This window comes from Homo sapiens, chromosome Y (assembly GCF_000001405.40).
Source record: "Homo sapiens chromosome Y, GRCh38.p14 Primary Assembly".
Taxonomy (NCBI): domain Eukaryota; kingdom Metazoa; phylum Chordata; class Mammalia; order Primates; family Hominidae; genus Homo; species Homo sapiens.
The window spans coordinates 14,615,267-14,640,538 of NC_000024.10; the positions used below are offsets into that span (position 1 = coordinate 14,615,267).

The following is a 25,272-nucleotide window of genomic DNA, read 5'->3' on the forward strand; positions in this document are numbered from 1 at the left end:
TTGTATCCTGAGACTTTGCTGAAATTGCTTATCAGCTTAAGGAGACTTGGCTTTGAGATAATGGGGTTTTCTAAATATATGATCATGTCATCTCCAAACAGGTACAATTTGACTTCCTCATTTCCTAATTGAATATCCTTTATTTCTCTCTCTTGCCTGATTGCCCTGGCCAGAACTTCCAACACTATATTGAATAGGAGTGGTGAGAGAGGGCATCCTTGTTTGTGCTGGTTTTCAAAGGAATGCTTCCAGTTTTTGCCCATTCAGTATGATATTGATTGTGGGTTTGTAAAAAAATAGCTCTTATTATCTTGAGATATGTTTCATCAATACCTCGTTATTATTTTGAGATATGTTTCATCAATATCTAGCTTATTGAGAATTTTTAGCTTGAAGGCTGTTGAATTTTGTCAAAGGCCTTTTATGCATCTATTGAGATAATCATGTGCTTTTGACATCGGTTCTGTTTATGTGATGGATGACGTTCAATGTATATGTTGAACCAGCCTTACATCCCAGGGATGAAGCCAACTAGATTGTGGTGGATAAGCTTTTTGATGTGCTGCTGGATTCAGTTTGCCAGTATTTTACTGAGGATATTCACATTAAAGTTCATCAGGGATATTGGTCTAAAATTCTCTTTTTTGTTGTTGTGCCTCTGCCAGGCTTTGCTATCAGGAAGTTCTTGGCCTCATAAAATAAGATAGGGAGAATTCCCTCTTTTTCTATTGATTGGAATAGTTTCAGAAGGAATTGTACCAGCTTCTCTTTGTACCTCTGGTAGAATTCAGCTGTGAATCTGTCTGGTCCTGGACTTTTTTTGGTTGGTAGGCTATTAATTGTTGCCTCAATTTCAGAGCCTGTTATTGGTCTATTCAGATTCCATTTCTTCCTGGTTTAGTCTTGGGAGGGTGTATGTGTCCAGGAATTTATCTATTTCTTCTAGATTTTCTAACTTATTTGTGTGGAGGTGTTTACAGTATTCTCTGATGGTAGTTTGTATTTCTGTGGGATCAGTGGTGACGTCCTTTTTATCTTTTTTTATTGCATCTATTTGATTCTTCTCTCTTTTTTTCTTTATTAGTCTTGCTATCAGTCTATCAATTTTGTTGATCTTTTCAAAAAACCAGTTCCTGGATTCATTCATTTTTTGAAGGATTTTTTGTGTCTTTATCTCTTTCAATTCTGCTTGGATCTTAGTTATTTCTTGCCTTCTGCTAGCTTTTGAATTTGTTCTTGCTTCTCTAGTTCTTTTAATTCTGATGTTAGGGTGTCGATTTTAGATCTTTCCTGCTTTCCCTTGTGGGCATTTAGTGCTATAAATTTCCCTCTACACACCATTTTAAATGTTTCCCACAGATTCTGGTACATTGTGTCTTTGTTCTCACTAGTTTCAAATAACATCCTTATTTCTGCCTTCATTTCATTATTTACCCAGTAGTCATTCAGGAGCAAGTTGTTCAATTCCCAAATAGTTGTGCAGTTTCAAGTGAGTTTCTTAATCCTGAGTTCTAATTTGATTGCAATGTGGTATGAGAAACAGTTTATTGTGATTTCTGTTGTTCTGCATTTGCTGAGGAGTGCTGTACTTCCAATTATGTGGTGAATTTTAGAATAAGTATGATGTGGTGCTGAGAAGAATAGACATTTTGTTGATTTGGAGTGTAGAGTTCTGTAGATGTCTATTAGGTCTGGTTTTTGCAGAGCTGAGTTCGGTTCCTGGATATCCTTGTTAACCTCCTGTTTCATTGATCTGTCTAATATTGACAGTGGGGTGTTAAAGTCTCCCATTAACATTGTGTGGGAGTCTAAGTCTCTTTGTAGGTCTCTAAGGACTTGCTTTACGAATCTGGGTGCTCTTGTATTGGGTGTATATATATTTACGATAGTTAGCTCTTCTTGTTGAATTGATCCCTTTACCATTATATAATGGCCTTCTTTGTCTCTTTTGATCTTTGTTGGTTTCAAGTCTGTTTTATCATAGACTAGGATTGCAACCCCTGCTTTTTTCTTCTTCTTCTTTACGTTTTTTTTTTTTTTTTTTTTTTGCTTTCTATTTGCTTGGTAGATCTTCCTCCATCTTTTTATTTTGAGTCTATTTGAGTCTTTGCACGTGAGATGGGTCTCCTGGATCCACTCCAGACGCTGTGTGCCTGAGTATCACTAGGAGAGGCTGCAGAACAGCAAATAATTCTGCCTGATTCTTCCTCTGGAAGCTTTGTTTCAGAGGGGCACAAGCCAGATGCCAGTTGGAGCTCTTCTGTATAAAGTGTCTGTCGACCCATCCTGGGAGGTGTCTCCCAGTCAGGAGGCAAGGGGGTCAGGGACCCACTTGAGAAGGCAGTCTCTTCCTTAGCATAGCTCAAATGCTGTGCCTGGAGATCCACTGCTCTCCTCAGAGCAGTTTAATTCTGCTGAAGCTATGCCCAAAGCTGTCCCTTTCCCTAGGTGCTCTGTTTCAGAGAGATGGATGTTTTTTTCTATAAGTCCCTGACTGGTGCTGCTGCCTTTCTTTCAGAGTTGCCCTGCCAGTGAGGAACAATCTAGAGAGGCAGTCTGGCCACAGATGCTTTGCTGCACTCTGGTGGGTTCTGATGAAATTTCGGGCTGCTTTTTTTTAATCTGTGAGGGGAAAACCTCCTACTGGAGCCTCAGTAATGGCAGACAACCCTCCCCCTACCAAGCTTGAGTGTCTCAGGTGGACTTCAGAGTAGTGTGCTGCCAGGGAGAATTTCAAGACATTGGATCTTAGCTTGCTGGGCTCCATGAGGGTGGAATCTGCTGAACAAGACCACTTGGCTTCCTGGCTTCAGCCCCCATTCCAGGGGAATGAAAGGTTCTGTCTCACTGGATTATGAAAAAAAAAAAAAAAAACTCCTGCAGCTAGCTCAGTGTTGGCCCAAATGATCGCCCAGTTTCGTGCTTGAAAACAAGGGCCTTGGTGGTATAGGCACCTTAGGGAATCTCCCGGTCTACAGGTTGTAAAAACTGTGGGAAAAACATAGTATCTGGGCTATGTCACAGTCCCTCATGGTTTCCATTTGCTAGGGGAGGAAGGTACCTGTCGCCGTGCACTTCCCAGGTGAGTCAGTGCCCCATCCTACTTCTGCTCACCCTCCATGGGACACATCCACTCTCTAACCAGTTCCAATGAGATGAACTGAGTACCTCAGTTGGAAATGCAGAAATCACCTGCCTTCTGATTTGTCTCACTAGAAGCTGCAGAATAGAGCTGTTCATATGTGGCCATCCTGCCAGATCCTCCCTAATTTATATGTTAGTATATTTTCACACACACTCACACACATACACACATACATGGCAGCACTAAATTATATTCTCTAAATGTACCTACAGATACTTAATCATTTGCACAGCCACTATCATTTTATGCTTGATGGCTTAGACAAGTAACTCTCACTTGTGGGTGGTTTTGGCCACCAGGGGTCATTCAGCACTGTCTGGAGACATTTTCCACAGTTAAAACTGGGTAGGAGGTGCCACCATCATCTAGTGAGTTGAAACTGGGAATGCTGCAAAATACCATACAGTTTAGAGGCGGCATCTCTACAACAAAGAATCATATGGTTCACAAATCATTATCATTGTGCTGAGATGCGGCAATGCTGAGCTTCAGACTATAGCAATTTTTTGCAAATTTGCTAAATTTCAAAAAATGAAGGAATAAAAAAAGATAGCTCTCAACCTGTGGGTATTGTGAATGCCTAACTTAGACTTAGGAAGCGTACAGGTGCCCTTGGGCTTGTCTTCTTTGTCTGCTGCTAGTTTATAATTGTTCACTGCCCATCAGGACCTTGTGGGTTATAGATTTAGATAGAGGAAGGATTTGATCATACAGGTGGGTCAGTCATAACCAATATGTGAGTCACAGTCTCACTCACATTGAGTTTGAGAATTTAAGGCATGGGCTGGAATTCCTCATGGAACTGACATTATAAACCTGGGAAGAAATCTACCCACTGAATTCCACTTGAGCTGTCTGTTTCAGCAACTGTTCAATACTTTGAGGTTACATACTATCTCATTTAATCCCAACCTGGGATAGTGTGTAATACCAAATTCTTTACAGCTACATGGGATTAAATTAGGTAGTATGTGAAATTCCAAATAGTAAATTGGTAAAGTGATGCCTAATGAATTTGAATGAGCTGCTGCCAGCCTACTTAGTACTAACAGTGAGCTAATAGCACCTTGTGTCCCTGTACCCAGAAGTCTTTCTTGCAGGACTGTAGCGAACATGTCAGCATGTTGTCTACGTTGACTGGACATCTTCTGTTCTCTTCAGCCTTTGCCTGTGTATGCTCCTGTCCTGCTCTGCACAATTTAATGAAGCAGGTGGGACACACTAGTTTACCCTTTTAGTAGTCTGCATAGATTGACTTGCTTCCCTCAGTTCACAGAGATAGCTTCCCAGGATACAGATTTATCTGAATTACAAGTTGATGGCTTCATTGTTCACAATAGCAAAGACATGGAATCAACCTAAATGCCCATCAGCGGCAGACTGGATAAAGAAAATGTGGTTCATATGTACCATGGAATAGTATGTAGTCATAATAAAAGAATGAGATTATGTCCTTTGAAGGAATATGGATGGAACTCGAGGCTATTATCCTTAGCAAATTAATGCAGAAACAGTAAACCACATACTTCATATTCTCTCTTATAAGTTGGAGCTAGAAATGAGAACTTACGAACACAAAGAAGGAAACAATAGAAAAAGGAGCATATTGGAGGGTGGGCAGTGGTAGGAGGTAGAAGATTAGGAAAAATATTTATTGGGAATGAGGCCTTGTATCTGGGTGATGAAATAATCAGTACAACTAATGCCTGTGACATAAGTTTACCTGTATGGCAAACTTGCACACCTACCCCTGAAGCCAAAATAAAAGTTATAAAAAAGGTGATGGTCTCACCTATTCTCTTGGGGAAGGCTCCAAAAGTAACAGCTACCTCTAGTTAAAAATCTTCTGGTTAAAAAAAGAAGCAACCAAACACGACATCACTCTTTGTTTTTCTTGTCTGTCTCTTAATTATTCAGAAATGGGATTGCTGCATGGCAGACATCCGAATGTTGTCTACAGTACAATTCAGAGTTAGTAGCAAACACCTAAATCAGCCATTTGATGAGATGCTATTTGTCACTTTCAAAGTTACAATCCAGATTTTCAGTGCATTTTCATCCAACTCTGTTGAACTTTTCCCAGGATGTCATGTACTATGGAATTTCCCCCCAGTAGGTATTATTGTTCTGTGATAGATCCAGTTCCAATATGTTTTATTAAAAAGAAAAAGCCATGTGATGTATTTTGTTCAATTGATTACTTAAATGAAATGGATAACTATTTTCTGATGCAAATGCTCTGAGTAACCCACAAATTCCTCAGAAACACATTTGCATACTTTGAGATGAAGAACACTCTAAATGCACCCTCCTTGTGACACCTAGTGAAACGTTTTCTGTCCCTAGAGGATCATTTGACATACTGTCCATTGCTGCACAACATTCTTTTATTGTCACAGGAGCAGCGATTTCCCTAGGGATAGTCATATTATCCTTGTAGGGACCAATTGAGGTGGTGACCCTTTAAAAGTTGACTCCAGTCTTAATGGGAAAGTAACTCAAATGTAGCCTTAGATTTTTAAATGGGATACAGGGTGAAGAGGATACCCTCTCAGGCATGCAGCAGCTTACTGCAAAGTCAGGATAATTGCATCAACACTTTTAGTTATGAAAGAAGTCTTCAAGAGACCAGCACTGAAGCATGTACTTGAAATGCACCATCTTGTACAGTTTTTTTTTTTTTTACAAGAAACTGAGATTCAGAACAGTGAAGTATGTAGCCTAAATATATATGTGCACTTGAGTAGAACAAGGAAAATTCGTGTCCAAAGTCTACACTCTTTTCATTTGATGATTTTCCCCTTGTGGCCTGATAAATATCCACATCACAATGACAGGATGGCCTGGATGCATGCTTCTATTTTGCTCCTACTGGAAAACTTTTAGATCTGCATGCATATCCCCTTAGGAAAGAGTGAAAATTGCCTTAAACATTTGAGAAAAAGTTCTTTTGATAACCCGTCTGGTAAACAATAGTGAAATTGGTAGGTGTCATTATTATCACTTGCATAACCTGTACAATTCTTGAACGTCGGTTTGTTCATTCAACATAGATGTGATGAGTGTTTTCTAAATGTCAGGCATTGTTTCTGGTGATAGGATATACAGCCAGGATTAAGAAAAGTGATGGACACTAGGCATGGTGACTGACGCGTGTTATCCCAACACTTTGAAAGTTTGATTGAGGAGGATCTCTTTAGGCCAGCCTGGATAACATAGAGACACCTATGTCTACAAAAATTCCAATGAATTGCCCGGACATACTGGTGCATGCTTGTAGTCCCAGCTACTCGGGAGGCTGAGGTGGGAGGTTGGCTTTAGCCCAGGAGTTGGAGGCTGCAGTGAGCTGTGATAGCACCACTGCCCTGCAGCTTTGGCAATATGGCAAGACACCATCTGTAAAAAAAAATAATAATAATAAAGACAAGTTATGTTTTTGCTATTGTCGACTATGTGGAGATGGCACTATACACATTCATATACAAATGAATAGGAATTTCATAGAGAGATGTTGTGGATTTCATGGAAGAGCCAGCCAGTGTTCTAGGTGATCATTGTGTGGCTTCATTATTCTTGTCTGCTTTCTCCCTCCTTTAGGTTGCATTGGAGTTTTCGAAAGACTTATCTTTCTGCAGGCTCGCCTCTGAGCTTTGTCTCCTTGGAGCCACCTCACTTAGACAGCTTCGGATGTGGATGCAGATTTGAACCATGTTGCGTCCCCAGGGACTGCTATGGCTCCCTTTGTTGTTCACCTCTGTCTGTGTCATGTTAAACTCCAATGTTCTTCTGTGGATAACTGCTCTTGCCATCAAGTTCACCCTCATTGACAGCCAAGCACAGTATCCAGTTGTCAACACAAATTATGGTAAAATCCAGGGCCTAAGAACACCATTACCCAGTGAGATCTTGGGTCCAGTGGAGCAGTACTTAGGGGTCCCCTATGCCTCACCCCCAACTGGAGAGAGGCGGTTTCAGCCACCAGAATCCCCATCCTCCTGGACTGGCATCCGAAATGCTACTCAGTTTTCTGCTGTGTGCCCCCAGCACCTGGATGAAAGATTCTTATTGCATGACATGCTGCCCATCTGGTTTACCACCAGTTTGGATACTTTGATGACCTATGTTCAAGATCAAAATGAAGACTGCCTTTACTTAAACATCTATGTGCCCATGGAAGATGGTGAGTACCTCACTGGAACAGAAAACAATACTTCTTGTGCAGTGTGTGGAGAGATTTACCAGGAGGGTTTTATAATGTCTCTTGCATGATCTTTTCTATAACCTGTTTATTTTATTTTAATTTATTTTTCATATTCCAAATGCAATTCTTGCAGCAGCTTACCACATGTTCCACTTGTATATATTGGGACATCTACTGGATGGACAAAACTATAAATAATGACTTTATTTTCATATATTACCTAATTAATGTTTTATAATTTTATTTGCAGATGAAAATTAACATGAGCATATAGTGTTGCATGTTATACCTGAATCATCTGTAAAGGAATGAATCCATAGAAAAAATAATAGAATTAAGTACACTACCATGCTCCAGTTTACAAACTGAAAGATAGAGAAAATGGTTCTTTCTGCCATAATGACTTGAGATATTAGCACCTTTTTTGAGTTTTGAAAGAAAAACTTTATTTTTTTTAATATACAAGCATGAGGTAGTTCATACAATGATAGGATTTCATTGTTTAGAATCCATTTTCTTAATGTAAATTTGGACTTTGTTTTCTTCCAAGATCCACTACGATCAAATGACAAAATATAGTCAGATGATTCTAGCTACATTAGACGTGATGTGTTTATATTTTTAAAAATTTCCTCTTTTTTCTATAAAACACCAATGAAAGTCTGTAAACACAAAAACATTTAATATATTAACCTAATGTTAGTAAAACATGAATAGTTTTATGTCTGTATAGATTTCAAATTCAGATTTCCTCGAAGAATAACCAAAGTTATGCCACAGTGGTATCATATTTCCCGGTTAGCATTTCCATATGCCATTTTTAGATGAGGAGAAAGGACAACAGAGAACAAAATATACCTGGAAAGAAAGGAAATAATTTGTGAGAATAATAGACATATCTAATGTAGAAACTAGAGCTTGTCTTTTGCATAAAGCTCTTCGTGGAGAATGTGATAAATTTCTTTTATGGAGAATTTTTTTCTTCTCATTGTTCTTTACACTTTAATACCTGGAAAATATTTTTCAGTAAAATTTGGCTGAAAGTATTAAATAAACAATTACATTAATTCATTGATCTCCAAAATTATATTGCATCTGTCAGATTACTCTCTCTCCAGGTAATTGCTAGTTAGTCTAAGTAGAGCGTCATTAAAAACTAGACCAGGGTTGTGTGCCATTGAGATTACAAATTGCCATTGAGATTACAAGGAACAGTTCAGAGTAAAAAAGTAAAGGACCCTGCTTCATCATATTAGTGGTTTCTAGAATATTGCCCTTGTCATTAGGGTGACAGATCTCCCAATCATCTCATAAAATCCAGGTCTGAATGTGACTGAAGGAGTCAAACTGACGTTTGGATGCTGTACTTCCATGGGGTGTTCTGTGCTGTCTCTGTGCCTAATAGTCCCCTTTGTGCATGTGTGTGATGAGAAAGAGCTGTCAAAATCTATTAGGGTTCTCATTTGAGCAGCCACCTGGGTTGAGATCTTTCTCATAAAGGAACTATTCAAACCAAAAGTAAAAAGAATGGAATACAAAAATTCAGAGAAAAACCCCAAACAGGACAAAGTATTACAATTGCTTTTATAATACATTGGATATGCTAGAGTCTAGGACCTGGTGATTTTATAGAGCTAGCCTTGGCAACAATGAATGCACTTCAAATAGGATGCCTCCTCATATAGGATGTTGGATGGAATGAGACCACCCATGAAAAAAATCAATAGCTTCCATGACAGCAGAGCCCTGTAGGTACAATTGTGTGGATGGAGACCACAAACAGGGTGGACGTTTCATTGTGATTCAGTATTGAATTGTAATTTGGGGAGTATAACTCTGTGAAAAATGCTATTCAGTGAAAAAGTAATCCAAATTTCATAATAAACCCAGTTCCACTTCTATTCTTTAGTCTTTTTGAAGCAATATGCGCATACGATCTTGAAAAGGGAATCAGAAATTTAATAGTGACTGAAAAGGTAGAATAAATCTCCCCACAATGTGTAAACTTTAAAATTTTGCTTGTGAGAGTTCAAAGCTACAGCCCTGCATGTTTACACAAACCACAAGTCACAGACTATCGAGTTAGGAGGGTTTTTTGTTTGTTTCCTCGGTTGTTTTTGTATCTCTATCAACTCGATAGGCAATACAAAGACTTAGATATTTAATTATTGTTCATTCACTAAGTGAATGAACTCTGCATTCATAACAACCTACTGAAATGTTGGCATCACGCTGATTCTCTCCAAAGGCCTTCTCTTAGGCAGTATCTGAATTCATATCAGTGCTTTTGTTTAGCAGGATAGAAATATTATTATCTGGAATTCAGAATTCTACTCTGACCACTTAGAATCTCTACTTTTTTTGTTTAGCTTTGTCTTTCTGCCTTGATCATATTTGCTAAAACTTTCACATTCTTAATTTCATAAAATGTGTACATTTATTAAAAATGCAAAAACAGACTTTATTTCAGTTAAGTACTTATTCTTAAATTTAAGAAATAACTTGGATGAGAAGTGTTGGACATTTCTTTGTAGTACAATAGTTTCATGAAACATAAATTGTTTTTCGGTAGAAAGCAGTATTTTTTATAATTCCCTTCAAATAAATCACATCTTGCTGAAGTTGAGTCTTTTCGTTCAAATTGTCATCATGATCTACTAAGCTTAGTCTTGAGTCTTTATACCTAATTACAAATTTCTATATTTGTAATTAGCTATGCCATACAAATTTATTTAGATTTTATATATTATAAATTTCTTTATTGTCTAGATGACAGGTTAATTAACTTAAATTGCATATTTAACATTTTGATAGGTGCTCAAGTAAGGTCAAAATCAAAGCCAGTCAGAAGCTCTAGTAGGACACATGGGATATTGCTCACAAGGAAGAGTTGGAGACCGCATCCGCATGGTGTGTGTGTATGTGTGTGTGTGTTTGAGAGTTTGTGTCTACATGTGTCAGAGAGAAAGAGCCAGAGGAAAAGAGGGGGTAACTGAGTGACTATTTTGAAGAAGCAGTGCAGAATATGGCTTGGTAGCTTGATTAAACAAAACTGATGAAAGTCAAGCTGAGAAGTTCCAATCTCACATACTAAGTTCATGTCAGTTCATACATGAGAGCATGGCACTACAATTTGAGACTTCTCTTGGTCACCAAGGAGACTGAACACAGAAAGACAAGCTATGGAAACGCTTCAGGTTTTTAATGAGAACCCTTGGTATTGAAGTGAGGTTAAAAAGTAACGGAAAAATAAAAGACACATTTTGAAGTAGTTGCTCACACAAGATATTGTATTAAATATAAAGCTTGGAAGAGAAAAAGCCGTAAGTTGAGTCCAGGGTGTCTTGGGGAATGGACAGAGCCAAGGAACCACTTCCGGAGTGATTTACACCTGTGCTTTCTCTCTGTATCCTTGGACATACATCTTAAGGTCTTATTCTTGAATGATTTCAGGGCAAAAAGCCCTTCCATTCTTCATAAAGGTGTGTCCGGAATTGGTGGGTTCTTGGTCTCACTGACTTCACGAATGAAGCTGCCGACCCTCGCGGTGAGTGTTACAACTCTTAAAGATGGTGTGTCCAGAGTTTGTTCCTTCAGATACTCAGATGTGTCTGGAATTTCTTCCTTCTGGTGGGTTCGTGGTCTTGCTGACTTCAGGAATGAAGCTGCAGACCTTCGTGGTGAGTGTTACAGCTCTTAGAGGCAGCGCGTCTGGAGTTGTTGGTTCCTTCCGGAGTAGTTCATCCCTCCCGGTGGGTTCCTGGTCTCACTGGCTTCAGCAGTGAAGCTGCAGACCTTCCCAGTGAGTGTCACAACTCTTAAAGGCAGCGCGTCTGCAGTTCTTCATTCCTTCCTGTGAGTTCGTGGTCTCGCTGACCTCGGGAGTGAAGCTGCAGACCTTTGTGAAGGTGAGTGTTACATCTCATAAAGCTGCGGGACCCACAAAAAGTGAGCAGCAGCAAGATTTATTGCAAACAGCAAAACGACCTTCCACCGTGTGGAAAAGGACACCAGCAGATTGGCGCTGTGTGCTTTGGGCAGCCTGCTTCCATTCCCTTATCTGGCCCCACCCACATTCTGCTGATTGGTCCATTTTACAGAGAGCTGATTGGTCCATTTTGACAGAGTGGTGCATGTACAATCCCTGAGCTAGACACAGAGTGCTGATTGGTGCATTTACAATCCTCTAGCTAGGCATAAAAGTTCTCCAAGTCCCCACCAGATTAGCTAGATATAGAGTGCCGATTGCTGCACATACAATCCTCCAGCTAGACGTAAAAGTTCTCCAATTCCCAGTCAGCCTGGTGTCTCAGCCTGTGATCCCAGCACTTTGGGAAGCGAGGTGGGCGGATCACGAGGTCAGGAGAGGAGACCATCCTGGCCAACACATTGAAACCCCGTTTCTACTAAAAATACAAAAAAATTAGCCGGGTATGGTGGCACGCGCCTGTAGTCCCAGCTACTCGGGAGGCTGAGGCAGGAGAATGGTGTTAACCTAGGAGGCTGAGTTTGCAGTAAGCCGAGATCTCGCCACAGCACTCCAGCTTGGGTGATAGAGAGCAAGGCTCAATCTTAAGAAAAAAAAAAAAAAAAAGTTCTGCAATTCCCCAGCCGACTCAGGAGCCCAGCTGGCTTTACCTAGTGGATCCCGCGCTGGGGCCTGCCAGTCCCGTGCCCCGCGCCTGCACTCCTCAGCCCTTGGGCTGTCAATGGGAGTGGGCCCTGCAGAGCAGGGGGCGGTGCCCGTTGGGGAGGCTGGGGCTGCGCAGGAGCCCACCGTTGGGGGGGCTAGGGCATGGCGGGCTGCAGATCCTGAGCCCTGTCCCACAGGGAGGTGGCTGAGGCCTAGGGATAATTGGAGCTCCAAGCGGGCGGGCCGGCAGTGCTGGGGGACCCAGCGCAACCTCCGCTGCTCCTGGCCCGAGTGCTAAGCCCCTTTCTGCCCTGGCCTGCCACTCCGAGTGCTGCCCGCGGAGTGGGGGCCCGCCGAGCCCGGGCCCACCCAGAACTCGCGCTGGCCCGCAAGCGCCGCGCACAGCCCAGTTCCTGCCCACACCTCTTGACCTCTCCTTCCACGCCTCACCGCAAGCAGAGTGAGCGGGCTCCCGCCTGGGCCAGTCCAGAGAGGGGCTTTCATAGTGTGGTGTGGGCTGAAGGGCTCCTCAAGCGCAGCTGGAATGGACGCCGAGGCCTAGGAGGTGCGAGGGAGGGCTGCTAGCACGTTGTCACCTCTCAATGGGACTGAAAACCCTGGGAAATATAAAGAAAAAATATAAATGGAAGTCATTATTGCCCAGGTGCGGTGGCTCATACCTCTAATCTTTAGTAGGCGGAGGTGAGTGGATCACTTAAGGTCAGGAGTTTCTGATCAGCCTGGCCTCAGGAGGCTGAGACAGCGGAATTGCTTGAACCTGAGAGGCAGAGGGAGGTTGCAGTGACCCAAGATTACACCACTGCACTCCAGCCTTCGTGACATAGTGAGACACTGTCTCAAAAAAAGAAAACAGAAAAGAAGGAAAGTCACTATCATTGTCTTTTCATTGTAGGATAACAGCAAATGCCATTGTGATTTCTAGAGAAGTGAAATTCTGTTTTTGTTTGTTTGTTTGTTTTGCTAGCAATACAATCGAAAAAGGAAGCTATTTAAAAAAGAGCAGATAATTGAATGCAAGGTGTCCCTATCATCTTTTTTCCCCAAGATGAAACCTGCGACTTTGAATTCTATTACTTAAGTAAACATGCCACGATTAGTGATTGAAGACCTATTCGGTGAAGCTTGGAGCTTTATGATGAAATATAAACAGACGTGACATGGACATTGACCTGTAGAAATTTGGACAGTTAGTAAACGTAGAGGTAGATGATAAGCCACAGCATCCTAGTGAAGGAACAAAGAAAGTTCTGTGACAGCTCAGGGACAAGTTATGTTTTGAGGAAATCTTGATGGAATCTATAAATGGTTGAGCTGTGTCCTGAAGAATATTTGGGCTATAGAAGGGATTCATCTATTAAGCATCTGTTGACTGGAACTTTTGAACACACAAATCTATGTTAAGCAGCTTGGCGCCAATCGTTGCTGTTGTTACTACTTGGGTGTTAAGTGTGGCATGGTAACAGAAGCTCTGCTTTACCACGTGCTCTTTCTGTCAGTGCCATATAATAAAAGTTATTTTATTTTTATTCTTATTTTTTTTTATTTAGAGACAGGGTCTTGCTCTGTCACCCAGGCTGAAGTGCAGTGGTGCAATCGTAGCTCACTGCAGCCTCGACTTTCTGGGTTCAAAGAATTCTTTCATCTCAGATTTCTGAGTAGCTGGGACTACAGGTGCACTCCACCACACCTGGCTAATATTTTGATTTTTTATTTTGTATAAATAAAAAATTTATACAAATTGTTGCTCTGGCTGGTCTTGGGCTCAAGTGCTCTCCCACCTCGGCCTGCCAAAATGCTGGAACTACTGGCATAAGCCATTGGACTGGGACCATAAATGTTTTTATGTTATCCATAGCTGCTCACCATGGCACTTTGTGGGGTAGACAAGCTACCTAAGATGAAAGGGTGGCAGATGAACGACAGGGAAAGAAGCTAGAAAGTCAACTGGCTTTGCTAGTGTTTTTACAAAAAAATGCATTCGCTTCCCTTGTAGACAGCACTGGATGTAATTCAAGATATAATTTATAGCACGGTTTTCATCCTTGAATATCTCCCATCTTTTCAGGAAGTCGTACAAACTTTTCTGGCATTCTGCGTTAGTGAAAGGGTGTTGGACTATGTCCAGCTGGTAGAAAATAACCTAGCCTCAATCTGGCATTGAGGGAAAAATTGAAATTTATTAGAAGGGTGGTGAGATATCCAAATTTACTGCAAAAGTCGAGAAATCAGATTGGGAGAAGGGCAGATATGCAGCTAGACTTTAGAGGCACCTGGAAGAAATGAGTTAAAGGACATCACCAATCTTATGTCTGGTTCTTTGCTTCTTTCTGGAAATAGACTTGCTTTACGTGGTGAGTGAGAGGGTTCTCTGCAGTTTTCACTACATGCATTTTGTTTTTCTCAGTACCACCAGTGAAGGACAAAGTTCCATAATTCCATACTAAAAATCCCTGGGCAGAGTTTTAATTGGCTCAGTTGACGCAATAGTAAGAAGTGATAAAACTGGGCTGCTCCTGGGTATAACAGTTGGCAGGGGGAGAAGGACAGTTCTTACCACAAGGTGTCTGGAATGAGCAGGCACTGCTTCACTTCACTGTCCAAAATATTTTTGAGGAGCAGTTATATGCCAGGCAAGCTTTAGAGGCTGAGATTTCAAGTTTACAAGCATTTCTAATTTTGAGTGATAGGTACTTGTAGGCAGAAGAATCATGGTCCTTGAGAGATGTGCATGGCCTTCCTCCTCCCTTCACCTGTCATTGCTGGAACCTCGGAATAGGTTGCTAGGCATGGCACCTGACTTCTTCAATACTCTGCCTTAAGTATTGACTTCAAATGGCAAAGGGGAATTAAGGTTGTAGACGGAATTATGTTTGCTAACCAGCAGACCTTCCAATAGAGAGAATTATCCTCAGTTACATAACTGAGCACGGTATATTAACAGAAGCCCTCCAATGTGGATGCAGAAGGCTCAAGAGGAGATCAGAGTTGGAGTAAAGCAGCATGTAAAAGAGATACCTGGACATTGCTGGCTTTGAGTATGAGAGAGCCAGGAGAAAGGAATGTAGGCAGCAGCGTTTGGAAGCTAGAGAGGCAGGGAAACTGATTCTTCCTTAGCGCTTCCAGAAAGGAGCCCAACAGCCCTGCTGACACCTCAATTCTATCCCCATGGAAGAAACTGTCTCTTGGAAGAAACTTTACCTCTGGAAGAAACCCTAGCCCCATAGAAGAAACTCTGAAGAAACTGTAAAAGAATAAATGTTTGTTGTTCCAAGCTTACTAAATTTGTGGAGATTTGTGATAGTGGTAATAGAAAACTAAGGAAGAGTTTTATCACCCTTTAATATGATTTGAAATTCATAATGAAGTATTACTCTGAAAACGAAGTTCAGAGTCACTGAAGTCATTAGGTTTTGAGCCTTCTGACCCCAAGTCCGTTCTGGGATTCTACTTCCAATAATTTCTAGTTGAAAACACTCTTGGGCACTTGGAGCTTTCTGTCTTCCTCAAGAATGTCGAGGAGACAATACAGATGACTCTTTTAGGGCAGATATTTTTCAGATTTTTAAAAAATTTCTCTTCTAAACTTTGAGTGAGAGTTACCCTGTCCCTGAGCGGGATCTTGCACTGTTACCCAGGCTCTAGTGCAGTGGCACAGAAGCTCACTGCATCCTCAAATTCCTGGGCACAAGTGATTCTACCACCTCAGCCTCATGAGTGTCTGGGACTACAGGCTGATACTGTATTAAGCTTCAGAGAAGAAGCATGTCCAGGTTCCTGCAAATTAGAAAATGGTAGCAGATATATATATTTTTTTTTCAAGAAGGAGTTTTGCTCTTATTGCCCAGGTTGGGGTACAGTGGTGTGATCTCCACTCACAGCAACCTCTGCCTCCCAGGTTGAAGTGATTCTCCTGCCTCAGCCTCCTGAGTTGCTGGGATTACAGGCATGTGCCACCATGCCCAGCTAATTTTTGTAGAGATGAGGTTTCACCATGTTAGTCAGGCTGGTCTCAAACTGCTGACCTCAAGTGATCCACAAAGAAACAATGAAAAAAAAATCCCCTATTAGATTTACATTACAATTTTCAGCCACCATGACTGGCTAGTTTTTAAATTTTTTTAAAGAGTTGTAGCCTTCCAGGCTGGTCTGGAACTCCTAGCCTCAAGTGATCCTCCCATCTCAGGCTCCAGAATTCTGGGATTACAGACATAAGCCACCATGCTCAGGGACATTCTGCAAATTTGACATTTTGCATTAGGTTAATATAGCCCCAAGGCAAATTGTCCTAAACAGCATATTCCACAGATACACTATTTTGACACAGGAAAGTAATAAAGGGTCATTTAAATTTTTTTTCAGACAGCTATGACAGATTTCCAGAGATGATGGCTTTGAATGACTTATAACAAAATACCCAAATGGTTCTTTCATCATCTGCCTCCATAGAGTTTCACTTGTGATGGTGGCTGCACCTTTACATTTCTTATTTTCCTACTTACAAACACTGCTGACAAAATCTTCTGAGCTCTCCATTCCTTCCAGCTACAACTTAACCTGTGGTCTCTGCTGGGCAAAGTGACTCACCTTTTGAATGTACGCCTTGTTTACTCCTCCAGCCAAAACTTGTTTGCTGGAGTTGGAATGCCAGTTTATCCCCTTAGCAGATCATTATGGGCAAGTGACTCAGCTTTCATGGGACACAGTGCCCTTATGTCTAAAATAGAGGTAGCTGAGAGGTTTAAGGTTATAATCCATATAAAATGCTTAGTATCCAGCACATACAAGCACCCTGTAATCTGATGTTAGTGCAATATCAGTAATAATAGAAAACAGAACTTGACAATTTCAGCAAAATTGCATGTGCATAGTGGGTCTGGTATGTGTATTAATCCAGGCATAATAAATGCTGATCATCTGTGACATAGCTGTTTACTGTTGTAGTGGAGGGGTAAGCTGAAGAGGTAAGACCAACAGCCCATTATTTCTGGTGGTTTCTAGTATGGTTTTAACAAATGGGAATTTCAGGAAAAGTAACACTTTTTAAAAGAGCTGACTGTTATCATTCTGCTTTATTCCTGATTTTAGTCTTTTTGAGCTCCTGTTGTCAAATGGATTTTGAGCATATGTGAATTAGATAAATTATTCACCATGAAAGGATTAGAATAACATTTTGGAAAATGCCCTTAAACTATCAAGTGGCAATAACACTACTCTTTGTGTGTGATATTAAAGAGAAATTAATTCTCATTTTCTTGTTGTCTAGACACACAAAGTCCAATTGTATGCATGTAATCACAAAATCTAGGTGAAAATTGAAAACTATGTTAACAGAGTGAGACCGATGTTTTAACCAATCAACATCGACATGCAACTAGGTGACAATTATTAAATTACTCCAGTTTTCATCTGTCAGTTTGATGTTTGACATTGTGTAGACATAGCTTGCCAGTAAAGATAATTATGAAAGATTATTAAATAAAGATCTCCCTGACATGGATTAATTGAAAAGTATTTAGTATTTTTTTTAAGCACAGTTAAACTGGGGTGGATTTCTGATAGCATGTTTCTCTCCCAGCACAAAAAGCTTTCAGCAATTTGAATATTGAGTAATAATCTTATTGAGGGTTTGGAAATTATGTGTGTTTTGAATAATATTATTGGTAGTATTTGGTAGTATGAATTATGCCTGTTTGAATAATTAAGAAGTAGCTTTTCCTAATGAAGAACATTTTCCATTACATACATAATCTTCCAGTACATGAATTTTAATTCAATTTACAATTTAGATTCTTGTCATAATTTGAACAATAGATTACCTAGAATATAATAAAAATCAAATTTTCATATAGTACATATCATAATTTTTATCTTAGAAATTGTCAGAGATAGAAACTTTAGGTACATCTAGTCCATTGGAATATTTGGCCATTTAAAACAATTAGCTTTTTATTTATTTGTGGAGTCTTGCTTCCTAAGATGTTGTAGTCTAATTTTTGTCAATTAATATTGCTGATTTGAATACTGTTATTTATTTTGGATACTACTTTAGCCAAGCTATTTACTATTTATTCATTTTTTATTTTGGAGACATAGTCTTGCTCTGTTGCCCAAGTTGGAGTGCAGTGTGGTGCAGTATCCACAACCTCTGTCTCCCAGGTTCAAGAGATTCTCCTGCCTCAGCCTCCCACGTAGCTGGGACTACAGGTATCTGCCACCACGTCCAGCAAATTTTTGTATTTTTAGTAGAGATGGGTTTCACCGTGTTGGCCAGGCTTGTTTTGAACTTCTGACCTCAGGTAATCAGCCCACCTTGGCCTCCCAGAGTGCTGGGATTACAGGTATGAGCCACCATGCCTTGCCTAGCCAAGCCATTTAAACTTTTAAATATTTAGTGTCATCACTTATTAAAAATAAGACTAATATGATTATAGGTCCTCTGATTTTTTTTTAGAATTATAGTGATATGGGAGTAAATAAATATATACGAAATAATTATAAAATAGAAAAGATTAGTGCATTCTTAGAACTTTAATGTCATGTTAATTGAATGTTAATCCAATGACTTTATCTTTCATTTCAAGATTCCTTGCCTGAATGAAGTAGTGGAAGCCCTTGTTGACAATAGGTCCTATCTTCCTATTCCGCTTTTTGGTTTTCCTAAACCAGGTTGTTTACATAATGACTAAGTTTAACATTTTCTCTTTATGTTTAAGCATCTCTTTCCTTGGTGCAATCACAGCCAAACTGCAGTGAAAACAAACAGAAATTGAGAGGTTGTGAGCTCCAGATTTCAGAGCCACAGAGAGTTTGTGAGATCAAAAAATAAATTTATTGTGAGGTCAATAAATAAATTAGACCTACCTAAATCACACAGTCAGTTTAAGGCAATGGAACCAGAGGGAAAGACTCCAAAAGAGTGACCTATCTATGGAATAGCTACTGGTAAAATGAAGCAACAATGAGACAGTGTAGTCTCCACCTTATTATTTCAATCTAATGTTCTGTATTGAGGTTCAGAGAAGCAGGTCCAGGTTTCCACAAATTAAAAAGTGGAGGATTGCTCCTGTAATCCCAGTACTTTGGGAGCCTAGGTTGGGGCTTCGCTTGAGCCCAGGAGTTTAGGCCAGCCTGGGCAACATGACTAAACCCTGTCCCTACCAGAAAAATGAAAAGAGTTGGGCATGGTGGCACTGGCCTGTAGTCCTAGCTACTTACAGGGCTGAGGTGGGAGGATCACTTGAGGCTAGGAGATCAAGGCTGCAGTGAGCCAAGACCACAGCAGGGCACTCCAGCCTGGGTGACACAGTAAGACCCTGTATCTAAAAAAGAAATAAAGGAAAAATATTTCCCTGTTAGATTTTACATACCTGATGATGACTTTAATGGTGAAGGTAAGCATTGGTGTGTGTGTTTGTTTGTGTTTGTGTGTGTGTGAATGGTGTTGAAGGAAGCCCATAGGAAAAGTACCCATAATTTATTCAAGATCAAGTATGTTACAGTTTTCTTGGCAAATGCCAAGTTATAAAACACATAAACCACTCTACAACCTCTTCTTCCCTAAAACCCCAAACATCTTGAAGTCTCCTTCAAGCCAGATATCCTCTTGGTCCTCTGTGCAAGTTGTCTGCACAGTCCTCAGGTTTGTCTTTGGGTAAGTCCCTGTTGCCATCACAAAGAAAGAACACAGCAGGTATTGATTTGTCTCAGACAAAGGAGCTCTTCTGGTGGGTTTCAACAAGATATGAAAATTCTAGGTTCATGAACACTCCCTTTTTCTTCCTTAAAAATAATATTTTTAGCTACATTCTACTCCACTCTGTCTTTTATGACATAATCATTCACTCAACCAGGGAACACCCACTATTTGCCTAACATCCTATCTGCCTATCACATATGGACTTTAGCCTCCAGTTAGACCAATGATGCTATTGATCTCCTAATCCCAATGTATACTCTTTGGATATTTTCATCTCTTTTCCATTGCTTATTATCTTTAGAGACATTTTAGGTAGCTCATTTAAAAATTATTAATAAATAAATCATTATTTGCAATTAGCATAGACAAGGACTTAGGTGAGTGTTAAGTGGGTATGCAGAGAGATCTAACCCCACTGCTGGAAAAAGTGAGTGGGAAAGTCCCATTGATATGTGACCCAACTAAACCAACATTCTATAAAAAGCACAAAGCCTTCAGCGACTGCTTTAGGATTTCAGGGGAAGGAAAATGGAGGCAAATGTGAAAGTTGAGTTGATGTCTTCATTTCTTTTTCTTTTCTTTTCTTTTCTTTTTTTTTGTTTTATTTATTTATTTATTTATTTATTTATTTATTTATTTATTTTTTGAGACAGAGTCTCACTCTTGATAACCAGGCTGGAGTGCAATGGGATGATCTCAGCTCACTGAAACCTCCACCTCCTGGGTTCAAGCGATTCTGCTGCCTCAGCCTCCTGAGTAACCGGGACTACAAGCCTCTGCCACCATGCCCTGCTAATTTTTGTATTTTTAGTAGAGATGGGGTTTCACCATGTTGGCCCAGCTGGTCTCGAACTCCTGACCTCAGGCAATCCACCCACCTCAGCCTCCCAAAGTGCTGGGATTACAGGCGTGAACTACCACACCTGGCCGAAAGTGGATGTTTTCTGTGGCGGTTCCTTGATAGAAAGGTTTTCATCCAGTCTTGAGATGAATATACAGAGTGTAAACACATGGTTGTGCAGTGAGGAAATGCTGTCTATGTTTCCTAAAACTGAGGTTCTTGTTTATTGCTTCTTTAGCTGCACAAAGACATAACACATGCAAAATTGGGGAGAAAGGAGAGATAAAACTATGACAAAGCTGGAGGCAATGTGCAATGATGTTGTAATTTAACATGCAAAGTACTCACTTTAGTATTTTTTACATTGTTACACTGTGACATTGCAGGATTCATAAGTGGAATTTCATCCAAATTTATTCTAATGCATATTTTTTTCTACTTAGCAGACTATACAATATGGTTAAATCAAAGAACATGAGGTTTTGTTCTTACCAAATTCAAAAATACTTTTTATCACCTGTTGTTTAAATCATTAACACAAAAGATTTCAGTCTCCCACAAATTTCTAATGTAGTAAAATCCTTTCATAATTTTATATTCAAAATATATTAATTCAGATGACTAGTATGAAATCAATGAAATCAAGTTATAATTTGCATGTTTCTAAAATGTTTAAATTTAAAAATGGAAAAGTAAGCCCTAAAAAACTGCAGGTTTCTCAAGAATATTAAAATGTTAACAAATTATTTAATTTTGAGCTAAAATCAGATAATAATGGGAACAGATTTCACCACTGCACATTCTACAGGGATGTTTGCATTTTATACTTGTTTTGTTTTGTTTTATAGGAGGAGATTTTGGTATATTAAATATAATACTAGACATTTACCTGGACATAAATGGTAGAATCAACTTAGACTCTAATCACAGAATGATAACATCTTCCAAGTAGAAGGAGCTTTTGGGGTCATTTAACCAAAACTCTTTCACCTTACACTATTTCCATGTTCATGTTAACCTTTTGGTACTCTAAGAAGAGATGAACTATCATTTCTTAAGTTCTAGAAGTTGAATTTAATTATGATTTTACAAATCTGCCATCTCCAGTAGATGGTAAATGCTTTGAAGACCCAGAGCATTTTTGAGATAAAATAATGAGTTATATATTTTATTGCATGAAACAAATGAATGAACCTGTAATGCCTGGCCACCACCTATTTTTTTTGAACCTGAACAATGAAGATGTTTGCGGCTTTTTCTCTTCATTATGGGTTGAGAGGGTAGGGGAGGGATATAATTAGGAGAAATACCTAATGTAGGTGAAGGATTCATGGGTGCAGCAAACCACCAGGGCACATATATACCTATGCAGCAAAACTGCACGTTCTGCACATGTAACCCAGAATTAAAAGTATAATTGAAAAAAGGCATTAAAGAAAGGGAAAGGTTGGTGATGTTTACCTGAGCACTCTCACAAACAGAGATGAAGCAGTTTTGAATGTTACCTTCCTCTTCTAACATATAGTTCTGAAAGTCTTAGAAAACATGTTATTTTATTCCTTCCAGGTAGTCTTTTGCAAGCATCCTCCTCAGTGTCAAGCATTTATTCTCATGCATCCCATTATGTGTTATGAATACACCCAGAGTTTATGTGAAATTTTTTTATTTTTTATTTTTTGGCAAATGTATTAAACTCTTGGTTTGTATATTTTGAACTGGAAGCCACATTTTTGTAATACTTTAAAAGCAAAATATTTTATAATATGCTTTAGAAATTAAAAGAAAATAGGATACCTCCATTTCCTATGACAAACTCTCAGCATACAGCAAGGCAAAGCTATTTGCTGCTGAAGCTCAATTTTTCCCTGCAGATGCTGAATGTACAAGAATTAACAGCCAAGCCAGGACCCTGTTTACCTTATGTTTCCCTGAAATGCCAAGCCCATGAGGTGTTACAAGGAGGGAAGACAGCATACAAACATGATAGAATGACTAATAAGCTAATTGGTTTATAGTTTTGAGAAAGCAGTTGGTTGCCTATGTTTTTTTTTTTTTTTTGTGTGTGTGTGTGTGTGTGTGTGGTGAAGAAATATTTGTATTTCATTTAAGTGCAACTAATTTCTATTTAAATTTAAGCTGCCATATGTATCTACTGGCTATAGCATTAGAGTGTTTAGCCTTAGCAACCTCCTTATTACTATATACTTTTTCTTTTTCTTTCTAACACTTTTTAAAATATACTTTAAGTTATGGGATCCATGTACAGAACATACAGGTTTGTTACAAGGCCATAAGCCTGCCATGGTGGTTTGCTGCACCCATCAACACGTCATCTACATTAGGTATTTCTTCTGATGCTATCCCTCCCGTAGCCCCCCATACACCAACAGGCCTCAGTGTGGGATGTTCCTCTCCCTGTGTCCATGTGTTCTCATTGTTCAGTTCCTACTTATGAGTGAGAACATGCAGTGTTTGGTTTTCTGTTCTTGTGTTAGTTTGCTGAGAATGATGGTTTCCAGCTTCATCCATGTCCCTGCAAAGGACATGAAATTATCCTTTTTTATGGCTGCACAGTATTCCATGGTGTATATGTGTCACATTTTCTTTATCTAATCTATCATTGATGGACATTTGGATTGCCTATTTTTAAATGCAGTGAGCTATAATTTGATTGAATGCAGAAGGAATCATTTCCAAGAAATTAAAGTTCGAAGGTTGGAAAATAACCGAGTTCATCGTTAGGGAAAGCTTATTCTAAAACTTCGGATAAAATGAGCTTCCTCTTACATTTTATTCAACTTAAGATCTTGTAGTTACTTATAATCATCATTATCATCATCAAAAACATCATCAGAATCATCACCATCATCATTATCTAAATTTGAGTAGCCATCAGAAGATATTGTGAGTTCCTGACTTGAGAAGGATTAATTTCTTTGAGATTTTATACTGTTATTTTAAGACTGTGGAGCATGGGTTAGATCTGTGTTTTAAAAACTTTGACAGACCACATTATTGGTAATAGTTTTCTCTTAGCATGGGTTTTGAGTTGACTTGTGTTACAGTTGAATTGTGCGTCTCAAAAAAAAGTTATGTTGATATCTTAACATCTGGTTCCTAGGAAATTCACCTTATTTGGAAATATGGTTTCTGCAAATGCAGTCAAGTTCAGATGAGTTCATACTGTGTTAGGGAAGATTCTAAACCCAATATGATTAGCGTCCTTGTAAGAAGAGACAGACACAGGAAAGGCAGAGCCACGCGCGGGCCCAGCCCTGCAAATCTCTAGAAGGTGACGATATTCTTTAAAACACTTCGAAATCATTGGAAGAAAATTACAACTGGGCTCTGCCTCCTGGCCTGGGGATGTAATTAGCTGTATAGAAAACACTGTGATAACCTACTAAGGAGAGTAGCCTATCAAGAAGCTCAGGTGTTTGGCAATCAACTCATTTCTCCAAATGCACAAGTGAAGAAGGCAACTGTTTTTCTCAATCCTGCAGCTTGCAAAGGCAAAGCCAGAACTTGATTTGAAAAAAATGCTGCCCTGATTTTACATATATCCAGGATGGATATGTCTATTATTAGGGCAGGTTATGAGGGATAAGTCAAGGAACTCCTGGAACTGATGTTAAACACAGTTGTGATCATTGTTGTAAGAGGAGATGGGACACTGAAGGAGGATGTTACTGGAGTTCTTCAAAGAACAGATGAGGCTACCTTCAGTAAGATTCCCATTGGATTTATCCCACTGGGACGGACCAGTAGTTTGAGTCATACCCTCTTTGCTGAACGTGGAAACAAAGTCCAACATATAACTGATGCCACATTTGCCATTGTGAAAGGAAAGACAGTTCCACTTGATGTCTTGCAGATGCAAGGTGAAAAGGAATAGCCTGTGTTTGCAGTGACTGGCCTTCGATGGGGACCCTTCAGAGATGTTGGCATCAAAGTTAGCAAGTACTGGTATCTTGCGCCTCTAAAAATCAAAGCAGCTCACTTTTTCAGCACTCTCAAAGAGTGGCCTCAGACTCACCAAGCCTATATTTTACACACGGCACCTACAGAGAGATCTCCCAGTGAACCAGAATAGACCCCTGTGCAAAGGCCTTCTTTTTACAGAAGAATATTACAAAGTCTTACATCCTACTGGGCACAACCGGAGCATGCCCTTTCCCAAGATGTGAGCCCAGAGATCTGGAAAGATGTGCAGCTGTCCACCATTGAACTATCCATCACAACACAGAAAAATCAGCTTGACCTGCCAAGCGAAGAAGATTTTATGAACATCTGAATTGAACGAACACCATCAGCAAAGGAGACTTTATAACTACAGGAACTCGAAAGGTTTGAAACCGCAAGCTGCACATCGAAGGCACAGTGTCTCCAAGCCAGCCAGTGCACTTTGCTTGTTGCCAATGGAGCTGGGGGCTCTTTTGGCATAGACAGTGAAGAGTGTGATGTGAAGCCTGTGGAGGTGAAACTGCTCCCCAGGAAGCTGCAGCTTTTCTATGATCCCAGGAAGAGAGAATAGATGCTGGCAAGCCCCACCCAGAAAGCAGGCAGAAGACAAGTGCTCTGAGACCATACTTTAGGCCACCAGCAGGACCAAAAGGGAACAGATGCCTCAACCATCCCAACAGTGTTGTCAGAGTGTCCCAAGGGCTTTTTCATGGCAAGTAGCCTCTGGCCTTCTCCAGCAGTGCTTCCCAAAGTATACTCTGTCACCTGTTTT

At 39.9% G+C, this 25,272-nt stretch overlaps 1 protein-coding gene and 1 pseudogene across 25 annotated transcripts in view; both read left to right on the top strand.

The window, feature by feature from the left end:
* Window positions 1-25,272, top strand: part of NLGN4Y (neuroligin 4 Y-linked) — a 323,039-nt gene that overhangs the window by 92,651 nt on the left and 205,116 nt on the right. For 22 of the 25 annotated variants that reach the window (NM_001394830.1, NM_001365586.1, NM_001365591.1 and 19 more), the window contains one exon: window positions 6,743-7,325. The exons of 1 other annotated variant lie outside the window; for it this stretch is intronic. In NM_001394830.1, the coding sequence (NP_001381759.1) occupies window positions 6,854-7,325 (472 nt within the window). In that variant the 5' untranslated portion in view covers window positions 6,743-6,853. Of the gene's footprint in view, window positions 1-6,742; window positions 7,326-25,272 lie in introns of those variants that run through there. 2 more of the 25 variants (NM_014893.5, NM_001164238.1) reach the window with 1 other exon arrangement.
* On the top strand, window positions 23,791-24,883 carry AGKP1 (AGK pseudogene 1; annotated as a pseudogene).